Source organism: Homo sapiens, chromosome 6 (assembly GCF_000001405.40).
Source record: "Homo sapiens chromosome 6, GRCh38.p14 Primary Assembly".
Taxonomy (NCBI): Eukaryota; Metazoa; Chordata; class Mammalia; order Primates; family Hominidae; genus Homo; species Homo sapiens.
Genome location: NC_000006.12, coordinates 156,948,099 through 156,972,151, shown reverse-complemented (window position 1 = coordinate 156,972,151; position 24,053 = coordinate 156,948,099). Strand labels below are relative to the sequence as shown.

Below are 24,053 nucleotides of genomic sequence, written 5' to 3'. Positions count from 1 at the left end.
CATACCAAGTAAAATAAAAAGAACTATTTTAACCTTTATGTATTATACCATTTTTAAAAAGTTTAAATACAGAACTATATGAACTAAGAAACCTATGTCCTTCCCAGCCCATGCTCACTCTGTGTGTAGGCAGAATTCTGTGATGTCCCCCAGGATTCCTGGCTCTGGGTACAAACACTAGGGCGCTCGAGCCTCAAGTGCAGGAAGGACCCGTAAATGTGTTGGGATAGCAATCCTACCATTAAACCATGTTATACAGCAAAGGTCAAGGGACTCTGAGGATATAATTAAGGCCCCTAATTAGTTAATCGAAAAGGAAATTATCGTGGGTAGGCCCGTTCTAAGCAGGAGAGCTCCTTAAAGAGGGATCAGAGAGACTCTCTGGCTGGCCTTGAGGAAGCAAGGTGCCATGAGCTCCACAGCTGCAAGGAAATGAATTATGCCAGCAACCACAGGAGCTTGGAAGAGGAACCCCCACAAGCCCTAGATGAGATCACAGCCCCGGCTGACACCCCGATATCAGCCTTAGGAGATTCTGGGCAGAGAATTCAGTATGCCTGCCCAGATTCCTGAGCCATAGAAACTATGAAATAATACACAGATGTTGTTTTAAGCCTCCAAATGAGTATAGCAATAGTAAAGGAACACACTCCCAAGCCCATCCACAGTTGTCTAATGTATCTAGTTAGGATATTTTCTCTGCATACACACACAGGTGCGTGCACACACAAAGTTCTTTCAACATCTCTGTTACATAATGTTATATGTTATTATGCCCATTTTAAAGATAAATAACTTGAGGCTGAAGAACATGGGACTAAATTGATTAAGGCACTATGCTGAGCTCTTTGTTCAATTGGTTCATGTAATCTGTCTATCAATAAGGAAAGCAGGCTCATTTTACAGATAACGCTGCAATTTAAAAGAACATATTTTTTCCAAGACCACAAGGAAAGTAAAAGCAGAAACAAGAATGTATGAATTCATGTCTTTTAGAATCCAAAGCCCCAAATCTACAAAAACCCTTCAGTTTTAATTCCCTGGTAATTACTCTTAATTATAAAGAATTTTCCAAAAATTTCATCAACTGTGAACTTCAAGAAGGATGAAGATGAATGAGGACACAGCAGTAAACCTGTCATTTCTTTGGGTGACTAGCATCAGGGCTCCACCGGCTGCAGAAGCTGGCAGCAGAGGGTAAAATAGGACCCAAAGAAGATCAGACCTATACTTTCACGCAAACAGCACACTGGGGAGAATTCTGCTTCCCTGCTAGAGATCCAGGGTTGGCAAAGCTAGGCTGAGAGAGAACTGAGTCCAGCATAAGATGGGCCCCCTCTCCAACCACAAACATCAGCTGCTGTCATTCAGAGGGCAAAAGGCAGTCACCTGCTCCAGCCCAGCAGTGAGTGCAGAGCAGGTAAGAGATTGGGACAGCAATGCAGAAGGAAGGCTGGGCACTGAAGCATTCCTTTTCCAATGACCCACAGACAGTTGCTCTATAACCTAAAAGAATTATCTCTTTTGAGTGTTGTTTACTAATCATAAAAATTTGGCAGTATTAATGAAATAGGAATAAAATAGTTTTGAACAAATTGTTTTTAATGTTCCAAAATTTGCAACATCATAGCAGACTCAGTAATCTTGGTTAAATAGTTAAAGCACATTTCAAGTGTGACAGAAGAGAGTGAAATGCCAAACTGTTTTTAAAAGACAAAAATCAAAAGCAATTTTTGATTAAAAATTTTTTATTTAAAAAGTCAAAGCTTGGCTGGGCAAGGTGGCTCATGCCTGTAATCCCAGCACTTTGGGAGGCCGAGGCAGGTGGATCACTTGAGGTCAGGAGTTCAAGACTAGCCTGGTAAACATGGTGAAACTCCATCTCTACTAAAAAATACAAAAAATTAGCCGGGTATGGTGGTGGGCGCCTGTAATCCCAGCTACTCAGGAGGCTGAGGCAGGAGAATTGCTTGAACCCAGGAGGCACAGGTTGCAGTGAGCCAAGATCATGCCATTGCACTTCCAGCCTGGGCAACAGAGTGAGACTCCATCTCAAAAAACAAAACAAAACAAAACAACAAACAAAACACACAAAAAAAACAAAGTCAAAGCTTTTATTCTTAATAATTAAATACAAATTCTACATTCTACAGTTCACTAATTGACACAGAAAAGGTAAACATTAATTTTCAAGTCTGAATTGCTTTAATCTAGTGCTGGTTTACCTGATACCAGTCAATGCAAAAAAAAAAAAAAAAAGCATTATATAATAAGAAATAAACAAGACAGAAGAAAACAAATTGAAATTATTGAGCCTTCTAAGTTACTAGACAGTGTCTTCTCTTTAGAAAATTGGGATGTAATACTGAAGTATGCTTTTAAACTTCTATTTTAATAAGTGTTCCAGAGTCTAAGTTCCCCTGGCCATATAAAGCTCGTATGAATCAAGTCTAACATCTAGAGTTCTAGATTAACAGTTATAAGCTAGTACCATTGGAATAAGGTTGAAAGTGGTTAAGTAGCTTGGCTCTTGGGTAACTACAGATATTAGATGTACAGTAATTCTTGTATTAGAAGGTTTTAAATGTTTTTGTGACATCTCTTTTCAGTAAATGCAAATAAATGTGGCTCGCCATGTCTACCATGTGTTCAGTAGCTTAAACAGTGAGTTCTGCTGTGTGTTCTGAACCCAGACTGCACTCCTTCCTCTAGCTGGTTGTCTTAAGACAGATACCAGCACTCATGGGGAGAGCCTGCAGTACAAATGCAACACGGCTGAACAGGGAACCACCACCACCGATCCTGGGGCTGAAAGGGGTACAAGTTAAGCCCAGACTAACAGACTGATTTTGAACTGCGATTTGCATTCATATGGAATATTTTCTGGAGAACTTTGTCGACACATACACACAAACACAAATCTCCTGAGACATAAACAGCAAGATATGTCTTTACTCAGTGTCCACTGAGGTAATAATTTATAAATAAGTTATGCTACTCAAGTCCATTGCAAGGTCACATTGTTTGGAACCTGGAATGCATTTGCCAGAAATATAGTAAATTGAAGTTAAATCCTCAGCCTCTGAAAGTTTCAACCCATGAACAGAACCCATTGTACTGGAAGTGAGCCATCCTTTTCAACAGTGCAACTGTGCGCATGTGGAGCACCTCCCTGGGGCCACCTCTCCACCTGGGCTCCACTCACAGAAGAGACCTGCTCCCAGGGGCTTGCGCCCTTCACTCCAAGCAGCTAGCACACAACCTCAAGCCAGAGTAACCATTCACAACAAAAATCACCACCATTCACTGAGGCACTGTAGTACATGATCTCTGGTGATCCTGACAATGACCCTGTGAGGAAGGAGCCTTGACTCCCATTTCCAGCAAAACAAACAGAAAAGTCAAATGAATTGCTCAGGTGACAGAGCTAGAAGTGGTGGCACCAGAATTCAAACCCAGATCCAACTAACCCCAGCAGACTACAATCCTATAACCACTGAAGGTGATGAGCATGTCGAGACTCCGGGTGATACTCCATTCACATATGGGTATTTCTAAAAGCATGTACAGAACCAAAGAGCAAAAGCTGAAATCAGTGGGAGCTGGGTGGGGTTCTGCCACCAGAGAGCATGAAAAAGACGATGAGAATGATGATGGAAAACAAAGGCTTAATTTACATTTTCCATTCTAAAACATAATGCTCAATGGGGATTTACTTTCTTGCTAAGGGGTAATGAATAGTCAATTTCAGACTAAAGATTTTCTGCATTCATCTTCCCCAAGTGTTTCATATCTTTACATTACATTTTTCAGATATAGATATTTTCATCACTAATATTGTTCCTCTCAATTTCCCCTTTCTCATTTTTTGTAAAATGGCAAAATGAACAAAATATTCAAATATTTGTGTCAATTTACAATAGACTAAAATTAAAATGCTGGCTACCAAACAGTATTACCAAAACAACAGTTTACAATAATCATTTCCCAGGTGAGGCGTTAAGAGTCCAGGTGAGGTGCTTACAGATGCTTGGTTAAAGCTCAAGGACAGTGGCTACATGAAGGGGAGACAGCTCCCTGCAGGAAAGAGACTGCAGACAGGGACCGGGAAAGGTCACGTGTGACCTAAGAGGAGAAAAGGACATTCCTTCCTAGGACTGAATGAACAGGAAACAAATTCAGTACCCCGAAAGTCTACACAAATCTGAACTTTGCATATATCAATGACAAAAATTCACTTAACTGAAAGAAAAGTAAAATTTAAAACTGGGCTCCCTACTGAATGAACCAAAGTTCCTTGCAAATCTTATCACCAATTTCAATATACACAGAAACCCCCAAAAGGAGGTTCATACAGCATCTATGTTTCAAATATAAGTCTACGTTATAAAAAATAATAATTTGACCTCATTAATAAGATCAAATAACTTTAAATACATTCAGAAAAGTCTAAAGCTTAAATTTTCATGATAATAACAATGAATATAATATATAAGGTAAACCATAACAGATTGGAAATTTTTATTTCAAATTGAATATATAGGGCAAATTAATATTCTTCTGTCTTAAAAGCACTGAAACAAATCTTACGTACCAAATGTACAAACATACACACATTCTCTCCCTCCTCCTCTTCTCTCACTCATCATTTACAGAGCATTGAAAATCAGTCAAAAGACAAAAGCATCAGGAGGAAAAAAACCCATTTCCAAATTAATCATTAACTTCATTGGTGACAGCTAATTTATCTTCATGACTTTTTCATATCTATTTAATGACATTTCCTATGGTGATTTGTGTCTTAATATCGCTAAATATTTTTATCTGAAAAGACTGCATGTGAATTTGTATGTGTGGATATGTGTATGTATGTGGCCATGTGTATGTGTGTGTATGAAACTAACTTGTATTCAGCAACACGTATCTTCCAATGTTCAAATATAAGGTACATTTTGAAAGACAGTAAGAATACTATGACCCTTTCAAAATCCCCCAAAAGACTAGGTTTATATATCTCTAGTAATTTCTAATCACGGCAATTTAAAAGTAAGACAGCGTTATCAACATTAACAAAGACCAGATTGAGAAGAAGAAAATGGGCTGAGTTACTAAAAGAAAAAGCCAGAAAAAGAGCCTATTAAAAGTTATTTATAGCAGGACATGGTGGCTCATGCCTGTAATCCCAGCACTTTGGGAGGCTGAGGCAGGTGGATCACCTGAGGTCAGGAGTTCGAGACCAGCCTGACCAACACGGAGAAACCCCATCTCTACTAAAAATATAAAATTAGCCAAGCATGGTGGCACATGCCTGTAATCCCAGCAACTCGAGAGGCTAAGGCAGGAGAAACGCTTGAACCCGAAAGGCGGAGGATGCAGTGAGCCGAGATCGCGCCACTGCACTCCAGCCTAGCGACAGAGCGAGACTCCGTCTCAAAGCAAAAAAACAAAGTTATTTATGGCCAGGCGCAGTGGCTCATGCCTGTAATCCCTACACTTTGGGAGCACGAGGCGGGTGGATCACCTGAGGTCAGGAGTTCCAGACCAGCGTGGCCAACATGAAGAAACCCGATCTCTATTAAAAATACAGAAAATTAGCCGGACGTGGTAGCAGGTGCCTGTAATACCACCTACTTGGGTGGCTGAAGCAGGAGAATCACTTGAACCCGGGAGGCGGAGGTTGCAGTGAGCCAAGATCGCACCACTGCACTCCAGCCTGGGCAACAAGGGTAAACCTCTGTCTCAAAAAAAAAAAAAAAAAAAAAAAAGAAAAGAAAAGAAAAGTTATTTATGTCTGTATTGTAGTGATTTTCCCTTAAATTGAAATGCTGGTTCTAAGCATTTACACTACCAAAACGAGAAAATAAACAAAAATTTAAAGTATGCCTTCTTAAATCTTATATATGAGGACTGCGATATACCATTGAAGTATTATCTGCACACTTATAGGAATTTAATGTAAATTTCAAGTTAAGCAAGAAATGGTTAATCAGAATTTGTTTGGCTGTGGGCCTGTCTTGTTGAATGATAAATTAGCAGTACATACAGATAAAGGCCAGTCCCACTTATTGAAAAGAAAATAGGCAAAACATCCTACATATCTTAGCTCTCTATGAGAACTTGTGGTCCCTGTGATGAGGCCAGAGATCTCATGTGGTTGTGCTGGTACTTCATTAAAAGAAAATAAAAGCAAAGCAGGTATGTAAATACACAAATAATACATCTTAGTAATTAAAACAAGTATACACTGCCCACAACTTAAAGACAAAATTTCAGAAGTCTAATCTGAAAAGTCTCAGAATTTATTAATGATTAATAAATTTTTTCATAGTCTGCAATAAAGTACAAGTGTATATTTAAATACGACTTTTGGACAATCGAGCTAACAATAAAAAAATCTTATTGTTCACAAACTGCCCCCCAAAATAATTAGCAAACTACAATTCTCCATTAGGTTCCAAAATTTCAAAACCACATTAAATATAAAAGAGCTGGAAAAAGAGGCTACTAATGGTTGTACATATTTGTATTATAACAAATTTTTCCCTAAATTGAAACCACTAGGTTTTTATTTGAAACTTAATATGTGTTTAATCTACTCTTTCTACAACTATTAATACACATTCACGGATTAAGTGCAGACTTAGTTTATTCAGTTAACGCCTACTAAACTAGGCAGAGCAGTCATCGAATAACAAACAGTGACTTTTCTTAAGTGACACCCATTTTCCATACTTTTTAAGGATAAAGTGGAGAAGACTGAGCAAGAAAGAGCTGCTTCAGAACAACGGGCACATCTGGAGGAAGACAGGTGCCTTCATGAAGGGTGGAAAACCCTGGGCAAGCCTAGAAAATTTAGAAAATGAAATAAACTGTGCAACCACATTCCAGATAGGCATCAACAAAGTAATGACAGGGAAAGCACTGCAGAATTATGTTATTCCTTTGAAGCTTTAAAAAACTGTGTTTAAAAAATAAAAATAAGAAACTCTTGATCCCAGCTGCTCTATGCAAAAGAAAAGTAGAGGAAATAACTAAATTTCAAACTACTGATAAACAACATACAGGACATAGGGAAGAGAATACTTATGTAGCTGTATATTCAATGACAAAGTAACTCTATGAAATATTCATTTGAAAGGTAATTAAGTCTTACAATTGAAAAGCTAACCTTTCACAACACAAAAACCATCATGCGGCTTTGAGATTAACACATTCTTATGTCCTCTGGTGCTCATTACAATTTATTTAGCACCTCATCTACATTGATACTTGGACTGTTTATATATTTTTCATTTCCTACAAGCTAAAATAGAAAAGAACCAAGGCTGATTCTCCCCCAAATATCTCAAACAAAACCTTTACAGATCACATATATAAGACTTATATAATAACCTTAGTGTTAAATCATGCTAAAATATTAATGAAAATAAATTTTTTCCATTAAGAGAATCCATACTTCAACTGAGGTTAAGCTGTCAAAAAAAGATGGTTTTAAAATCTATATTCTTTTTTGTAAAATCAATGATTCCAAACTTTCAACTTTTATACACATACATAACATTCTATGGCCTTGAGTATACGCATAAAATTACGCCATCATAAAAGAATTTAAAACCACAAATTTCTCAAATAATCCTATCCTGATTTTCCCTACATAGAATATTAAATTAGCCTTTCTGTGGTCTCACAGCACATGAGGGATGACGGGACTTTTTTTCCAGAAGAAATTAGCAGAATTTTAGGCTTTAAATGCCAAAACACTCTATTAGCTTCCCTTTGGCTATTAGTCTGATAAACAGAGTGGTCTCTAAAGTGTCTGCAACAGATACCAATAAATTTTCAAAATGAGACTTAGCACCTGCTTTTCTGATGTCAAAGAGAATGAAAAAGAGCTGATTCAGCATATGTGGTATATCCATTCAAGTCACATACTACTGATGTCACTGCGAGCTTTGACAGCTCATCGTCTTGACAAGCCAAAGGTTGCAAGATGAGTTAATAAGGCATGCAGCTGAGTCCATGATGACAGGCTTTGGGGAAGGCTGGGGACAACATCCCCCACAACTGCAGGCCAAGGGGCAGAATCCTTGTGACTGCTTCCAAGGGTGACAGAGAGATTCTGAAACTGAAACAAACGAGCAGTGGAGAAGAATTTCTCCTTCAAGTGCGATTAATCAGCTCCTTTCCACAATTGGCAAGCACATATTCATACTAAAGAAAAGGGAACAGAAAACCGTTTCCAGAATCCAAACTTAAGCCACGTGGGCATAGTTCATGCTAGAGATTATTGTATGTCCTGCCTCTCGGACTGCTACCTCATAAGCACATTTAAAATTTCTGTTGTGCAAGATAAATATTACACAATTTCTGTAAACAAGAAGAATTTCAAATAAATATACTGAGAGGAGAAGTTTGTTTTGGTTTCAGGAGATTTATTTGATTACAAAACAAACAAACTCTTCCATGGTTTTGATTTTATGTAGCATTTGATCCATTTTCATAAATACTACTTAGAATTTTTTAAACGCTTAAGTATCATTCTGAACACTAAAGATTAATATAACAAAAAAGACAACTAAATTAAGCAACACTTAGTTACACAGTCTATTTAGATTCTTTAATATTTTCTTAAACAGGCTTATTCCATATGAATACTATGCAATCATTTAAAATGACCTACGCAACTAACTGTATTTGACAAGAAATTACAATTTCCAAGTAGATAATAAAAACAGTACATAGAATACGACTGTTCTTCTAAAAGAAATTATCCACGAATACACACAGAGAAAGAAAGAGAAAATAGTAATCTTCTCAACTTTATAATGAAAATATTAACTATGTGATTAGGATAACCAGTAGAGCGATTTTTAGAAAGAGAAAACTTAACATCACTGAACAGACTTCTTTGTTACTCCCTAATCTAAATCTAAATTCATTACTTGATGCAAAAATGCAACACAAACACAGTCGGTGCAGGCAAAACAGAGTGACTTTTAAGCCCTCTAAAACAAACAGAACCTACCAAAATAAACTATAACTAACTACATAATACTTCTAAAGAAATTGAGGCCGGGCGCGGTGGCTCACACCTGTAATCCCAGCACCTTGTGAGGGCCGAGGTGGGTGGATCACGAGGTCAGGAGATAGCGATCATCCTGGCCAAAATGGTGAAACCCCGTCTCTACTAACATAAAAAAAAAATAGCTGGCCGTGGTGGCGCACGCCTGTAGTCCCAGCTACTGGGAGGCTGAGGCAGGTGAATTGCTTGAACCCAGGAGGCAGAGGTTGCAGTGAGCCGAGATCGTGCCACTGCACTCCAGCCTGGCGACAGCGTGAGACTCCATCTCAAAAAGAAAGAAAGAAATCGGCCAGGTGTGATGGCTCACACCTGTAATCCCCACACTTTGAAAAGCCAAGGCGGGCGGATCTCTTGAGCGTGGGAGTTTAAGAGCAGACTGGCAACATGGGAAGATCCATCTCTACTAAAAATACAAAAAAATTAGCCGGGGGTGGTGGTGCCTGCCTGTAGTCCCAGCTACTTGGGGGGCTGAAGTTGGAGGATCGCTTTAGCCCGGGAAGCGGTGAGCTGTGATTGTGCTGTGATTAAGCTGTGATTGTGCTACCGCACTCCAGCCTGGGTGGCACAGCCAGACCTTGTCTCCCTCCACGTCCCCACCACGCCCCAAAAGAGAAAAGAAATAGACACAGGCACAGACATCTGGAAAACTTTTTCTAAAATTAAAAAATAAAATTTTATAACACAGCTTTTTAGAAATAACTGTTTAAAGACATTACAGGCAAAAGAGGAAAATATTGCTGAATTATCATTTACCTTTCTATAGTTTTTTTTGAGACAGAGCCTCGCCCTGTCGCCCAGGCTGGAGTGCAGTGGCGTGATCTCAGCTCACTGCAAGCTCCGCCCGCCGGGTTCACGCCATTCTCCTGCCTCAGCCTTCCGAGTAGCTGGGACTGCAGGCGCCCGCCACCACGCCCGGCTAATTTTTTGTATTTTTAGTAGAGACGAGGTTTCACCGTGTTAGCCAGGATGGTCTCGATCTCCTGACCTCGTGATCCACCCACCTCGGCCTCCCAAAGTGCTAGGATTACAGGTGTGAGCCACCGCGCCCGGCCTTTCTATAGTATTTTTAAGAGTATTTGTGTATATGTAAAATTATTCTATCAGAGAAATCAGTCCATTTACTGACCCTAGTAAAAATAGGGTCAGTGTTATGGTGAAATTGACTTAGAAGAGATTAGAAGTGGCAGGCTGCTCCCCACCCCAACATTATGTTTATTTTGAAATACAAAGAATACAAATTTTCTTTTTAAAAATACATTCCTCAGTAAACAAAACACTAATCATAAACAAGATCAGACACGAGTTGCTCCCAGCCCCGTGTGCCCATTTATTTGTACTTCAAGAAACAACCAGCACATCCCACCTCTGTATCAATTTCACATTCAACAGGTGGTAAGCGCAGCTCACACAGCGACCCTGCCCTTCTGGCCTAGTCTTCAAATACTCCCAGTACTGCTAAGGACCACCAGGCTTCCACCAAGAAGACACTTGAGTGGAGACAGGGCTGAAGATCAGGTGAACGGAGCCACCTGTGCTCACCTGACTGTCCTGCCCGCGCAACGCAGCGGACCCGGGAGAGGACCCCGCGCCAGCCAGCAAGCCGCTGCTGGCGGGGCCCAAGGCTGCATCACCACAGCACTGCCCGGAAGAGGCAAAGTTGGCATTTCCCCACCTCCTTAACAGCCTGACCGGTGATTTCATTTTACTCTCCAAAATTACACACCTCAAAGTTGTGTGGAATAACACCATATTTTCAAAATATCATTTGAACAGTCTGCACGGAGGCCTGTTATCTGACAGAGAAAGCTGACTAAACGTACAGTGTTGCAGGATTGGTTTCCATTAAGCAGCTCCGTGTCCTGCGCACTCTGTCGCAGAGCACGCACCTGGGAGTGTTTAGGGATGCTGAGCTGCACCCTTCTTTCTGGAGTAAGCTGTGTCTGTCTCCGCAAAAGCTCAGGGATTTGGGTTAGAGGTTTGGGGTTTGTTTCTTTGTTTCCCAAGAGGGTGATTTCTTTCCTTTTCTGTGGGAACACATAAATCTTCAAATTTAGAATCAATGTTCCATTTTACAACGATTTTTCCTTTTTAAAAAGGTAGAAAGGTGGACCACTTTGCATTGGTTTTGTTTGTTTGTTTTAAATGGCACCCTTAACTAGAGAGGAAAACACTTCCTAGGACTCTATTTCATAAAATGCACAGGGAATAATTCTGCTTCTTTACTCAACAAAATCATCTAACTTCATGCCTTAAAAAAAATACAGTAAAGTGCTTTGTGCCTGTAATTCTAAAACCCTGTGGCTTTCCTCTATCTGAATCATATTCTAGTTTACCAGTTGTTTTTTATTGCAGAGAGTAATTTGGGGTTCTCCCTCACTTTAGAACTGCCCTTTAAGTACATAAAAATGAAATACAAAGACTAGTAGTGAAATTGTTGCTTGAATTTTTAAGACTCTAGCAAATAACTGCACCATGAAAACTGACTCAAAGGAATGTATACCCAAACCCATTCAAACTAAACACATAAACAAAATAAATACATAAAGAAAAATAGTACTTTTAAGGCCAATACTTTGTCAAAAGCAAAGTTTATTCACATTATTTTTTACTGATTAAACTAAATACCAAATGAAAATATACTTTTATTTTACTATAAATTAGAATAAATTATTTTAAGGACAATAATTCCCTTATATCAATGTCCAGAGAAATGCACTATGAGTCAATAAGGACGTCCATCATACAAACAGATGCTGCAGGACATATGTACACAGCCCAGTTCCCTATCAAAACCCAGAAATTTCTGTTTTGGTCGTGGTTTAAATTAAGAAGGGGACAAGTGGCCAGGCGTGGTGGCTCATGCCTGTAATCCCAGCACTGTGGGAGGCCGAGGTGGGCAGATCACGAGGTCAGTAGTTCGAGACCAGCCTGACCTACACGGTGAAACCCCGTCTCTACTAAAAATACAAAAATTAGCTGGGCATGGTGGTGCGTGCCTGTAATCCCAGCTACTCAGGAGGCTGAAGCAGGAGAATCGCTTGAATCTGGGAGGCGGAGGTTGCAATGAGCCAAGATCGCGCCATTGCACTCCAGCCAGGGCGACAGAGTGAGACTCTGTCTCGAGAAAAAAAAAAAAAAAAAAAAGAAGCTGACAATCTTCAGACAATACTGAATTAAAATTTCACCAGCACACAGGTGCAGCTGCACAGCAAACCAGAGAGAGCAGCCTGGTGTGCAGACCTCCCGCCTGCCACCACGGATCGAAAGGCAGCAGGGGATGGTGGACATATTTTTTATTTACTTACCCGGGAGAGATGGGGAAGAATCTGTATTTTTAAAACTGGTCATATATTTAAAAAGGACTCTGACTCAAATGATGTAGTCAGACAATTCAACCTTTACACAGTCACAGTTTCTGAAGACTTCTCATAAAATTTTATTAAAAATATTTTAATAATAGAACACTACAACCCTCCTGATCCTCCTTTTAAGAGATTTTTAAGTACAAAACCCTACACACTGTAACAATAAACAGACCGAATTAAGCAAGACGTTTTGAACAGAATGAGTACGGTTGGTCCTCCCTACCCATGGGTTCTGTGTCAGCAGACTCCACCAATAGCAGATAAAAAATTGGGGGAGGAAAAGCAGTAAAAATAATACAAATTAAAAAACAAAGTACAACAACTATTCATAAAGCATTTACATTGTATTAGTTATTATAAGTAATCTAGAGATGATACAAAAAGTATGTAGGAGGATGGTAGGTTACTTACAACTACTAACTTTATCTAAGGAACTTGAGCATCTACGATTTTGGTACTCGTGGGGGTCCTAGAACCAATTCCCTGTGGATACTGAGGACTGTACATAATTTTCCCACACTCACCCTTCCCAAACAGAATGATACTACGCTCAACCATTAAAAAGAACACAAGCCAAGTGGTCTTCCCAATAGAGGAAAACATTTCATTTTGCATTTCATCTTTTCTAGGCAAGTCCCACAGACTCATTTAATAACCTTCCTGTAATCTTATTAACCAAAGTATGATAATTAAATAGTCTTTGGGGTTTGGTGTTTAGGTTGAGGCACATATGAGTAGTTAATGATTTCACTTAACTGAAAATCCCAGGTAATGACCAGATCGAAAGAAAAGAAAGGGGCTCCTTTATTTTTCCTTACCTTTTAAAAGTACCTTGCTTCATTAGTAAACTAACTCCGTATGATTCCTGGCCTCATCTTTTTTTGCTTTGCTTCATTAACTGGACTACAATCACCCCTTGGTTTTAATAGAGCTTTTTTTTAGCAGAAATTACCCAGATTACTGACTTTTCCAAAAGGAAGGAGGAAGACGATTATTTCACAAAAGAGGAAAGAGAAATCCAGACTATAATTAAAAATAATGATTATTCAAAAGAAATACTTAAGACATTTGGACAACATTTAAATGCCCTTCAACAAGATGGGTAAATGCATACTGCAACAAAATGTATTTGCTGAAAAGTGCTTCACGATCTCAGGGACTCTGTATTTCTTCAAACCAGGAGTGTATCCATCATAATAGCACACTACAAAGGCTCAAGAATTGCTTAACAAAATGAATTCATAAATTCTCCTTCTCCCATCATAAATAAAACGAATTAGGTTTATAGACTGAGTAAGAACTAGCAATATAACTCAACCATCTACTTTTGCTGCTGAAGTGTACAGTATGCCACAGAATCAAACAAATACTGAGAAATCAGTATTACTCATTCCTAGTGTTTTTCTTTCTTTTTAAAGGGGGTAGGGGGAACAGAGATAAACTGTTTAAAAGTGAAAAAGCTGTTCCTAGGTGTGGAGCTGTGACTAGGAGAAAACAAGTTAGTCTTTAACCTCCTGATGTCAGGAAATGGAGCCAGAAGGCATGGATTGGACTACAAATGGTAGACTGCCGTGTGCAGTGGGATGGATGTGGACAACAAGCCAAAGCTGAGTTTGCAAGGCGGGTGACAAATGAATCAGAGATCTTGGAACATATTATTCTAACTACCCAACTACATTATACTGAATGTAAAATGCAGTTCTTATGAAAATTCTAAACATGTAGAGCACTAAAAAAGTGAATGAATTAAGTCTAAGAGGAAGGCTACACCACATAACAGATTCCCTAGCAGAATACAGAACTCCAGTTGTTTGGGGGGCTTGGAAGGGGCAGCAAGATGGACTCAACACATGGGTATCCTGGTGTCATTATCTCCATCAGCAGAACCCCTACTCATCCAGCAAATGAGGATACCAGCCTTAAAAAGTGAGAGTCATGAAAAGCCCTAGGCTGGCCTGAAATTACCAGATTCTAACTATGAAATTATTTGAGACTCGTGGGAGAAAAGACTTCCTGATCCCCTTTACAATTAAACAGAAAGAAACATATTTTAAATATCAACAGACATCATTTGTATACATTCAAGGGACATGATTTACCAAACCATAGGGTCCAAATCAACCCTAACCTAATTCTCAGATGCCACCTGGGCTATGAGAAAGATGCCAAGTGATGGACACTCCATATCCTAAAGCTCCAGCTTCTTAAGCCTGCACGGTGGTCCTGGCAGCCAGGATGCTGGAACTTGGCCTGCTACTCTGCTTCTGTGGCTCACACCTCTGCTTGACCTTGAGTCTGTGCCATCCTCCTACCTGAAGCTGACCCTGGTACTGGTGAGTATGTGGGAAGGAAGTGGGGATGTCCACAAGAGATCTTCAAGGTACTCAACTCTGTGATAACTGTTTCCAATAAACATAGATAACTGAAAACCCAGAGAAACAGGCAAGGAGAAAGACGTGGGACACAGTGGCTCTGTCACTTGTAAATCAGCATCCAAGTGCACAGCACTCTTTCACCAAGTGTGCCATTCTTACTCCTGGAATCTTGGTTCCTGGCCTACATGCCAAACCCTGCAACAGATAAACTCTACATCTAAAATATATTTGTTCCTTCAATCTCTTGTATCCTTGTAAAAATGAGGTAATTTTAAATGCCAGCTCAGAATACATTACAAATCAATAACTTACATGCCAAGAATTTGAGAGTCTTAACCTAACATTGTTATTTTCACCAAATTCAGTCTGTAATAAGATCCTGACCATATGGGATCCATAATCTAGAACTGCACTGTCCAGTATGGTCGGCACTAGCCACATGAGGGTGTTTAAATTTAACTAAAACGCAAAATTCCTTCTGCTAGCCATATTTCAGGTGGTATATAACAATATATGGCAAGTGGCTGACATACTGGACAACACAGATAGGGACTGTTTTCATCACTGCAGAAAGTTCTACTGGACAGTGCTGATCCAGAATATCCCAAAGTCCCTGCAACATCCTGCCTGCTACACATGCTATAAACAAAATTCACTCATATATTTTTCCTTTTGGAGGGAGATGCAAAATACACTGAATGGAAATCTCATTAAGATATCAGTGGACTAAGAAGCTGTCATCCACCCTTCACCCCAAACTCAAGCTGAAACTGCAGGCTGGTTAAAGAAGCCTCCATGGTGACCCAGCAGAGGGTCTATGGACTGACCACAGAAAGGGCTGCTGTCCCTAGAGGCCACCTCCAGAGGACTATTTCCTATCTGCCACTCCACTGCTACCAGCACTGGTCTGAAGCAATTTTTTTCCAGTCTATAAAACTTATTGCCAAATTTTCATTTGTAAGTGCTCTGCCTCCCAGGTTCCCATGCCCAGAACTCACTGAGTCCTGGCTTCTGAGAGAAGGGTGGGGGTAAGAAGCAGGGAGAGTTTATGACAAGTCCGAGTGGAAATTATGGGCCAGCCTCCATGAACTCACAAAAGTACCTGGGACTCATTCAAAAAAGAATGTCTTTTTCTGAGTGGCCCACTTGCCTCCCACCTCCTTCCCCTGCTAGAGGCAGCCCCTGTGCACTACAGAAGCAGAGGCCCTGCTCTTGTCCCCAGTACCAGGCCACTGGTGCATGTCTTCCCCAAGGTTTACATCCCTAGAAAAGACTAGGCCAGTTTTATCTGACCTTATGTCCAGAACCCAGCAGTCCTGGACGGCTGTCAAGCAGTTGGTGGTAAAAAGCAAAGCACAGGGCACTTGGCAGATACACAGATGAACACAGGAAGGTGAGGAAATAGAACAGGCGCGGCTTCCACCACCAGCGGCCTCCAGTAACCTTCCTAACAGGATAGGGTTTCTGAGACCAACAGCCCTCCTCCCTAAAATCTTAGGCCCCTGAAATGGGGCTACTTCATTTCTAAGATCCCAAGTCCAGGGCGAGTATCTTCTGCCTTGGACCCCATGACATCCAGGCTCTGTTTCTAGGGCCCTTCTGGAGATGGGCATAGGTTCTCCTACCTTTTCTTGATGTTTATCTTGGCTGTTCCTCCTGGACACAGGGAAGGAGCTGAGGCGTATCACTCAGGTGGCAAGGTGAACTAGCTTAAAAGGTAGATTTTCTCCTCTCATGTAGAAAACTTGATAAAGATAAAATTATGTCAATAGCAAATTATGTATAACTTTCAATTATTACAGAGCCTTTATATGTGTTACATCATTGGAAGTCATATATAATCCACAATAAGTCATTCTGGAAGACAGCACTATAACATATACAGAAAGGACTATAGCGTTGTTCTGGATCCCCACCTAGCCTCAGATAAAGTCTCTAGGACAGGATTGTGGTTAATATGTAATGTATGGCCTGGAACATACAGTAGCTCTAGGTTTATCACACCTGGTTGAATGGCAATAACCAGAATGTCAGAAAGCTCTGGATTTAGCCTATTTAACTTTCTGTATTAAGAGCTATCATGAGATACAAATTCAGAGGGGACACAAAGGTAGGAATTACACTAAATACAACAGATGCCAGATTCAGGATCCTAACACACGTTAGCAAGCTTGAACAACAGCCCCGACCCAGTCCAACAGCAGCCAGGAAGGGTCGATGAGCACTTGAGCTCAGGTGCAGGATGGATGAGACGTATCCTTCAGAGCAGCTCCCATCACAGTGGCAAGAGTGGGCTGCAGCTGCCGCAAAGCCCTGCAGACCCTGACGCCTCCGATACACGGCAGCGTGACGGTCCAACACAAAGCGGGCCAGGTGGCCTCCGCCAGCCATGCCTTTGGAGCCTGCCCTTTGGTTGTGGATATCACATTTAGAGGTGCTTATACAAAAATGAAGCTCATTAAGGAATTAAGAATAGGGTGCAGGGGAACTTGAGACCACACAGTGGGGGAAATAGTTAAAGTAACTATTAATAGCCCAGAAGAAATCCTAGTAAATGAAAACTATCTTCAAATACGTGAACAGCCGTCATATAGAAGAAGGATTTAGATTTACCTTGTGTGGTTTAAGAAGGCAGAAGTAGAACCAGGATTTAAAAAAACAAACAAAAAAAACAGTTCGAGCTAATGTAAGGAAAAACTTCCTAAACAATTTAAATTACCACAAATAAAATACCTCATAAAGTAATAAATTCTGTATCACAAGACATTAAAAATGATGTTTTAGTAGCAGTTTATGTATCAGGTAGACAGGGACTTGTATATACCATACAAACTATTAAGATTCATCTTTATTCTAAAGACAAAATACTCACAGATAAAAAAAAATCATATGTATGTGTGTGCAAACGGCCTCATTCCACACAGGCTGACTATGTCAGAGCATATTGCTTCGAAAGTTACATCAACTAAAGCATTTTCAAAATGTCCAACAGTTCTCCAGAACCATAAACTGTCCTTCCTTTACTATCTCATGTGAGGGTATAGTTCAGGAAAGGGGCTAACTAGAAACTTGAAACCAAAGAGACATCTTGATCAATATTATCACTCATACATTAAAAAAAAAAAAGAACTTCATTTTTAATATTTTAAAAGCTTAGTTCCTTAGAACTTTGTCTCCTCTGAAATTGTCCAAGATCAAGCAGATAATGGGCTAAGTCCAAAAAATAAAGGAGCAACAGAGCAAATCTGACTGCGTGTTTGAAAAAGCCTATAAAATGTTACAAGCAAAACAGGAAAGCCTGTGTTAATAATGCATAAACCAAAAGAGAAAAAAAAGCTGCCCATTTAATGGAATAATGCTTTTATCCTTGCAGTTAAAATGAAATAAACCATGACTATTAATCTAGTAAGACCATGTAAAAATGTAATTTTTAAACATTTACTAAAAGGGGATAGTTCAGTAACCACTCTAAAAATCAAGGCCTTGTGTACAGCAGTGTTTAAACGCTAAATACCAATCTCCTGTCTGCGGAGGCCATTACCCACCCTGTCACCATAGCAACGCTAACAGTATGCCTGACTTCAAAGACAAAGATGTAATTTCAGACTTCCAGCAGCCAGAGGGAGTGGTAAGAATATTCTACCCAAGCAGTGTCAGCTGATGATAAATTATAAAAATATCCAGGAAGGTTATGAGGCGGACGGTACCACATATTCTCATATTCCTGGGGGAAGACTTACATTAGTCAAACATACTAGGAGACAGAGAGAGTAAAACAAAAAGTAAACAAGAAAGAATCTCAATGGAGTCCGATTTTTTTCTTTTTTTAAAATTACATAGTACAGAGTTCTAGCCTTCCTTTTCTCTTGCTCCCAGGAGAAAATAAAAATAGTTTCTACCATCTTCTTTCTCATTCAAATTAAGAGTGACTGCAGACCTGCATGAATGTTCCAAGGGACTTGCAAAACCACCTCTATAACTGCTACTTCTATATTTGTGAAACTCTGGCGTTTGTCAAAAACCGTTTTAAGCACCAGTAGTCAGCTAAGGGGGCTGAGTGGATCCCTGTGTTGAAGCTGCAGAGGGCAGCCGTCCATTCTAGCACTTGGAGCTTTGCTTTCCAACCACCCAATCTAACCCCAACATACTCAAGATATTTTTAAAGCCCTGTGAAGGGGAAAACACTGAAAAACAATTTGCCAATTTGTAAGTTTTTGTGTCTTAAAAAAATAATAATAAGTGCATAAAGCTGACACAGTACTGTTTCACAATTACGCAGTTGACCAGATTTTAAAAGCACTAGCCCTAGAGTTGAGGTTGAGAATGCCACAAAATGCCCAGCTAGTAATTTTCCCAGAGGTAATGAAATACAAAAGAATAAAGTTGGAGCTAAAGTCTTCTTGAAGATTCCCTACAAGGAAGAATTGCCAGACTCCAAGGATTTTCGCTTACTCGAAGAAAGTCATAAATGACTAGCCTGGCCAGCAAACACACAGATGTAAGTTTTACTACAATATTATTGTTTTACAAGAATGAATATATACATTAAATTCTCTTTCTGTTGAATTCTCTTGTATGGTTTTAGGCTCAAAAAAGTCTAGTTCCCTTACTAACAGGAGCATGACACGGCTGCCTCTTTCAACAGACCCTGCTCCCCACTCCCAAAGGTGGATGAATGGTCAGAAGGGTGTGGAGTCCAACAAGGGCTGGTGTCAAGATCCCTGCCCCCACTGCTCACCGGCCTGCTGCCCACAACCACTCTCAGCAACCAAAGTGCACAGGAGCCACGGCAGCCCGACCTTCTTCCCACGACCAACCATGGGGGGCAGGATGGGAAATCAAGCCAGCCTCAGTGTCCCCACCACCCCTGCTAGCCTTTTGCTGGAGGTGGACCTATGATGGAGTTCCATGTTACTCCTTAGGAGCACAGCTCCAATTTTATAACGTATTCAAAGTCAGTAAGTTCGAGAAAAATAAAGCACATAAATTCACTCACAAACTGTTATCATCCTAACTATTAAGCTATTAGTGGCATGCATGTTCTGTAAAATTTAGACCATCACTAGTCTCATCAATTAATCTTGAGCCCTCATCTTTAAACCCAAGGATCAGCAATCTTCTTCCCAGAAAAACAAGCTAAATTACAAATGTCACTCACACACCTATCCCTCAAAACAAAGAAAAACACATGTATAAAAAAACACTCTCTTCACAATTCAACTCTTTCCTGACTAAATGGGTTTCCACCCTGGTACACGTTTTATGCTTATAAAATAATTATTTTTAAAAATTATTGTGAAATAAAAATGGGTTCAATAAGCTACTTCTTTGGACAGAGTAACAAAGTAGTTAAGCAAGTTACAGCAAAAACAGATAATTATTCAATCATTTATGTGGCATGACACCTAATTTAGGCCTTTGATAATTTTCCCAAACATGAAACCACTTTTTTAGCACTATATTAAAAACTCATATTTTGGACTCATTATTCACTATTTTCAAAAGAGTATATATTCCTTTATAAAGTATTTCCTTTTACAATATAATAAAAGAAAAATAATATTCCTTTCTTAAGAAATGAAGTGTTGGCCAGGTGCGGTGGCTCACACCTGTAATCCCAACACTTTGGAAGGCTGAGGCGGGCGGATCACGAGGTCAGGAGATTGAGACCATCCTGGCTAATACAGTGAAACCCCATCTCTACTAAAAACACAAAAAATTAGTTGGGCGTGGTGGCGGGCGCCTGTAGTCCCAGCTACTCAGGAGGCTGAGGCAGAAGAATGGCGTAAACCCAGGAGGTGGAGCTTGCAGTGAGCCGAGATGGCACCACTGCACTCCAGCCTGGATGACAGAGCGAGACTCCATTTCAAAAAAAAAAGAAAAAGAAAGAAAATAAATGAAGTGTTTTACTTTAATAATTAGGTAATCCCAATTTTTCCCCTTTACTTTGCTAGTCAGGAATGTAGCCTTAAATTTAATCATTATTCATCAGTAACTGCATTATCATGGTTTGTTTGCTTCTCTCTTTTTCAAACTTTTTTAAGAATTTGTAATCCGCTTGGAGCAGTCTTTGTTTATACAAACGTTTTACTGTAAGTCAGCTCAAATCCTTTCTGGAAGCACAAGGGTTATAAATTCTATATAAAAACATCATAGGATATGAAACATTCTGTCACACCAGGACTCTTTCAGTTAAAAGTGGCCACTGGTATATTTAAAAATAACCATTTATTTATAATTTTCAGGGATACATGTTGAAAGAATACCTCATCCAAGCTATTTTTAAACACTTTTATAAAGAAATTAATTCTTAAATTTTGATCATTAAGTTATAGAGTATCTGGGTAATACTTTATATTAAAATACCAGAGTATTTTAAAAAATTCATTAGGGAGGCTAAAATTGCATCAATTATATTATACTTCATACATTTTTATTGTTTTAATGAGAAATTAGGTTTGTAGGTAAATTCAAAGGTAAAACTGGTAACAGTAAGTATGATTTAAGAAGGGATATGACAGGACAGTCAATAAAAATGTTGGGGAAAAGTAAAGTGCATTAATCTATTTGCAACGGTAAAGTCATAGTCATTTCCTCTATAACTTCCCCAGTTACCTTTACAGCAGTTACCACTAGATCTTATGAATAGTTTAAACTTCAATAAATAAGACTCGGAAAGAGCAGCGCTAAAAAACCAGGACAACTTTCAGGTTGTTACCCCCCCGCAAAATACCACCTGGCCCACAACAACATATTCATTTAATGTCATCTAATCAACTGCGATGGAAGAAGGCAGAATTGAAAAAGGTATATTTCCTATATTAACGTAATTATTTAGGCATGTCCCTTTCTCTTACATCCCCATATATATACACAAACCTATATAATATTTTAAATAAAGTTTCAACATTAAGTATTTGACTTAAAAGTGCATTTAGTGATACTACCTGATTCACCATCTTTGGTCTTCCACTAAAGACCTGTGTTATCCTTCATGGCTGGTTGCTCCTATTACGGTTATATGGTGTTTGTACCAAAACTCTGAAAACTCTTTGAGCAATGTAAGGAGTTTGCCTAAAGCAGATTTGCTGCAAACCAAGTAGATCTGTACCTATGCCTTTGCTTTTGCCTTCTTTTAGGTGATCTTGCTACTCACTAGTAATACCATGAGCTGAAATGAGCAAGGGAGGGTGAACCCCAATCACTGCAGCCACTATGCTACCAACCGACTCTGAGGATAAAGCTGGGGTGCAGATTAGTCTAACACTAGTCACTAACATCACATTTCCGAATTATCAACATATTTTAATTGTCCAAACTATACACCTATAATTATTCCTAAGGAGTTAGAAATAATTCACAAGTTAGAAATAATTCACTTGTTAGGAATAATTAATTAAAATGTATTAAAACCTAGAGGATTTCACCCCTTCATCTTCACTCGTCCCCATAGTTTAGTTTTTGGTAGCTCAACAAACCAAAAATGGCAGCGTAATACTGGGGAAATTCTTAAAAACACAAGGTTTATTAATGTAGTTTTCTCTTCTTTATGTTCTTCTGTGCAGGGTAAAACTGATAAAATATAAAAAATATAAAACTGAGGAACATGAAATAAAATGGATGCAGAAGAACCTCAGTGGCATTTACACCAACATTCTCTGCATCCAAAGAGTACTGCAGCATTGGGGTTCAGCAATGAAGTCACAGGCTAGGAGTCCTGGGGATCTGATTTAGACAAGAGTCAGCCGCCTGTTCCAGTTCCTTGCTCATAGGAAAGGAATGCTGAATCTCAGGGAAGTGTGGTGCACCGGCAGCCCTGACAGGCCCTGGAAGCCAAATATCATTTCACAAAAGGAGGAGGGCAAAGAAAAGGCAAGAAATTGACATTCAGTGGACACTTGTGAATGTGGCAGGCACTGCCAAAGTGGTTTATGAACCTTAGATCTCATGTATGTGCAAAGTACTCTAGGTGGAGTATCCCGGCTGAAAAGCTCAATTAGGTGTGAAATGTTCTTTGTCAAACAACAACGTGCATATTTAGATATATATATCTGATACCCCTAAAACAGGCCAGAATTATATGAAAGATGTTTTTATCCCTATAAAACATAGAAAATGCCAATTAAGTCAGCAAAAAAAGTAGTAAAAATAATAAAATCCTCATGAAGCCACTCAAGAAAGCCAGCATAAACATTACTCTTCTACACCAGGTGTTCACAAAAGGGTTGGGAGACTTGGAAGGCAGTGTTCTCTTCCTCTGAAATCACCAGCACTGATAAGACGTGACTCAATGCCACCTGAATGTCTTGTATAAAAAGCTCTGACCACAGTTGTGTCATAGCCATTGCTGCTCTTAAACTTTCAAATAGTCAAGACTTCCACAAGATGGCAAAACACTTCTGTGAAATTATATGTGCTGAAAGTATGAATTCTGCAACTATAGGTACGTGGTTCTCTGAAGATAAAATGAAAAAAGATGTTAAAGTATTTTCAGTAACCAGTATCCCAAAAGTAGATATTTTCTGTTGAGGATTTCTTTTCTTATTCCTGAATGTGTTATGGGAAAGAACAGACATTAATAAGCCAGTGAAATAATTTGATTTTTTATTTATTTTTCTTTACATCTAATATAAAATCTTAGACATTAGACACAATAAATGATTACTAAACATAACTGAATTTTTCTGCATCATTGAGATGTGGAAAAGACAAGATACTGTGTCTTAATTGAGGATGTCAACATTTAGGCATGCTGGCTAAAGAAAGGCATAAATGCAGCAACTATGGGGCTGGGCACTGTGGCTCACATCTGCAATTCCAGCACTTGGGCGGGCGGCAGAGGTGGGAGGACCACATGAGGCCAGGAGTTCAACACCAGCCTGGCAACAGAGTGAGACACCCTCCACCCCCACCACCCACTGCCCCCCCATCTCTATAAGAAATTTAAAAATTAGCCAGGCGTGGTGGCACACGCCTATAGTTCCAGCTACTCGAGAGGCTGAGGTGGGAGGCTGAGTCTAGGCGTTCAAGGCTATGATCATGCCCTTGCACTCCAGCGTAGGTGACAGAGCAAGACTCTGTCTCAAAAACATATTAAATAGAAATAAATAAATAAATGCAGCAACTATGAAAAGCAAACACATTTGGGGAAATTTGACCACATTTGTATTTATTCAAGAATACCCCTAACTTTAATCAAAATTAGCAAAATAGTTTTTTTATTTAAAAGGA

At 39.5% G+C, this 24,053-nt stretch overlaps 1 protein-coding gene across 35 annotated transcripts in view, besides 4 other annotated features; it reads right to left on the bottom strand.

Moving 5' to 3' along the window:
• The window catches only part of ARID1B (AT-rich interaction domain 1B), a 434,754-nt gene that overhangs the window by 238,628 nt on the left and 172,073 nt on the right, over positions 1-24,053 (bottom strand). The gene's annotated exons all lie outside the window — the stretch shown is intronic.
• Positions 8,810-9,450: an enhancer, noted in NCBI's record as "H3K27ac-H3K4me1 hESC enhancer chr6:157283836-157284476 (GRCh37/hg19 assembly coordinates)". NCBI's record gives its function as "activates a minimal SCP1, AML or CMV promoter by ChIP-STARR-seq in primed H9 embryonic stem cells {active_cell/tissue: H9 hESC(primed)}" and the evidence as "EXISTENCE:reporter gene assay evidence [ECO:0000049][PMID:30033119]".
• Positions 13,688-13,737: an enhancer, noted in NCBI's record as "active region_25324". NCBI's record gives its function as "activates an Ori minimal core promoter by ATAC-STARR-seq in GM12878 lymphoblastoid cells {active_cell/tissue: GM12878}" and the evidence as "EXISTENCE:reporter gene assay evidence [ECO:0000049][PMID:35858748]".
• Positions 13,878-13,927: an enhancer, noted in NCBI's record as "active region_25323". NCBI's record gives its function as "activates an Ori minimal core promoter by ATAC-STARR-seq in GM12878 lymphoblastoid cells {active_cell/tissue: GM12878}" and the evidence as "EXISTENCE:reporter gene assay evidence [ECO:0000049][PMID:35858748]".
• Positions 13,948-14,077: an enhancer, noted in NCBI's record as "active region_25322". NCBI's record gives its function as "activates an Ori minimal core promoter by ATAC-STARR-seq in GM12878 lymphoblastoid cells {active_cell/tissue: GM12878}" and the evidence as "EXISTENCE:reporter gene assay evidence [ECO:0000049][PMID:35858748]".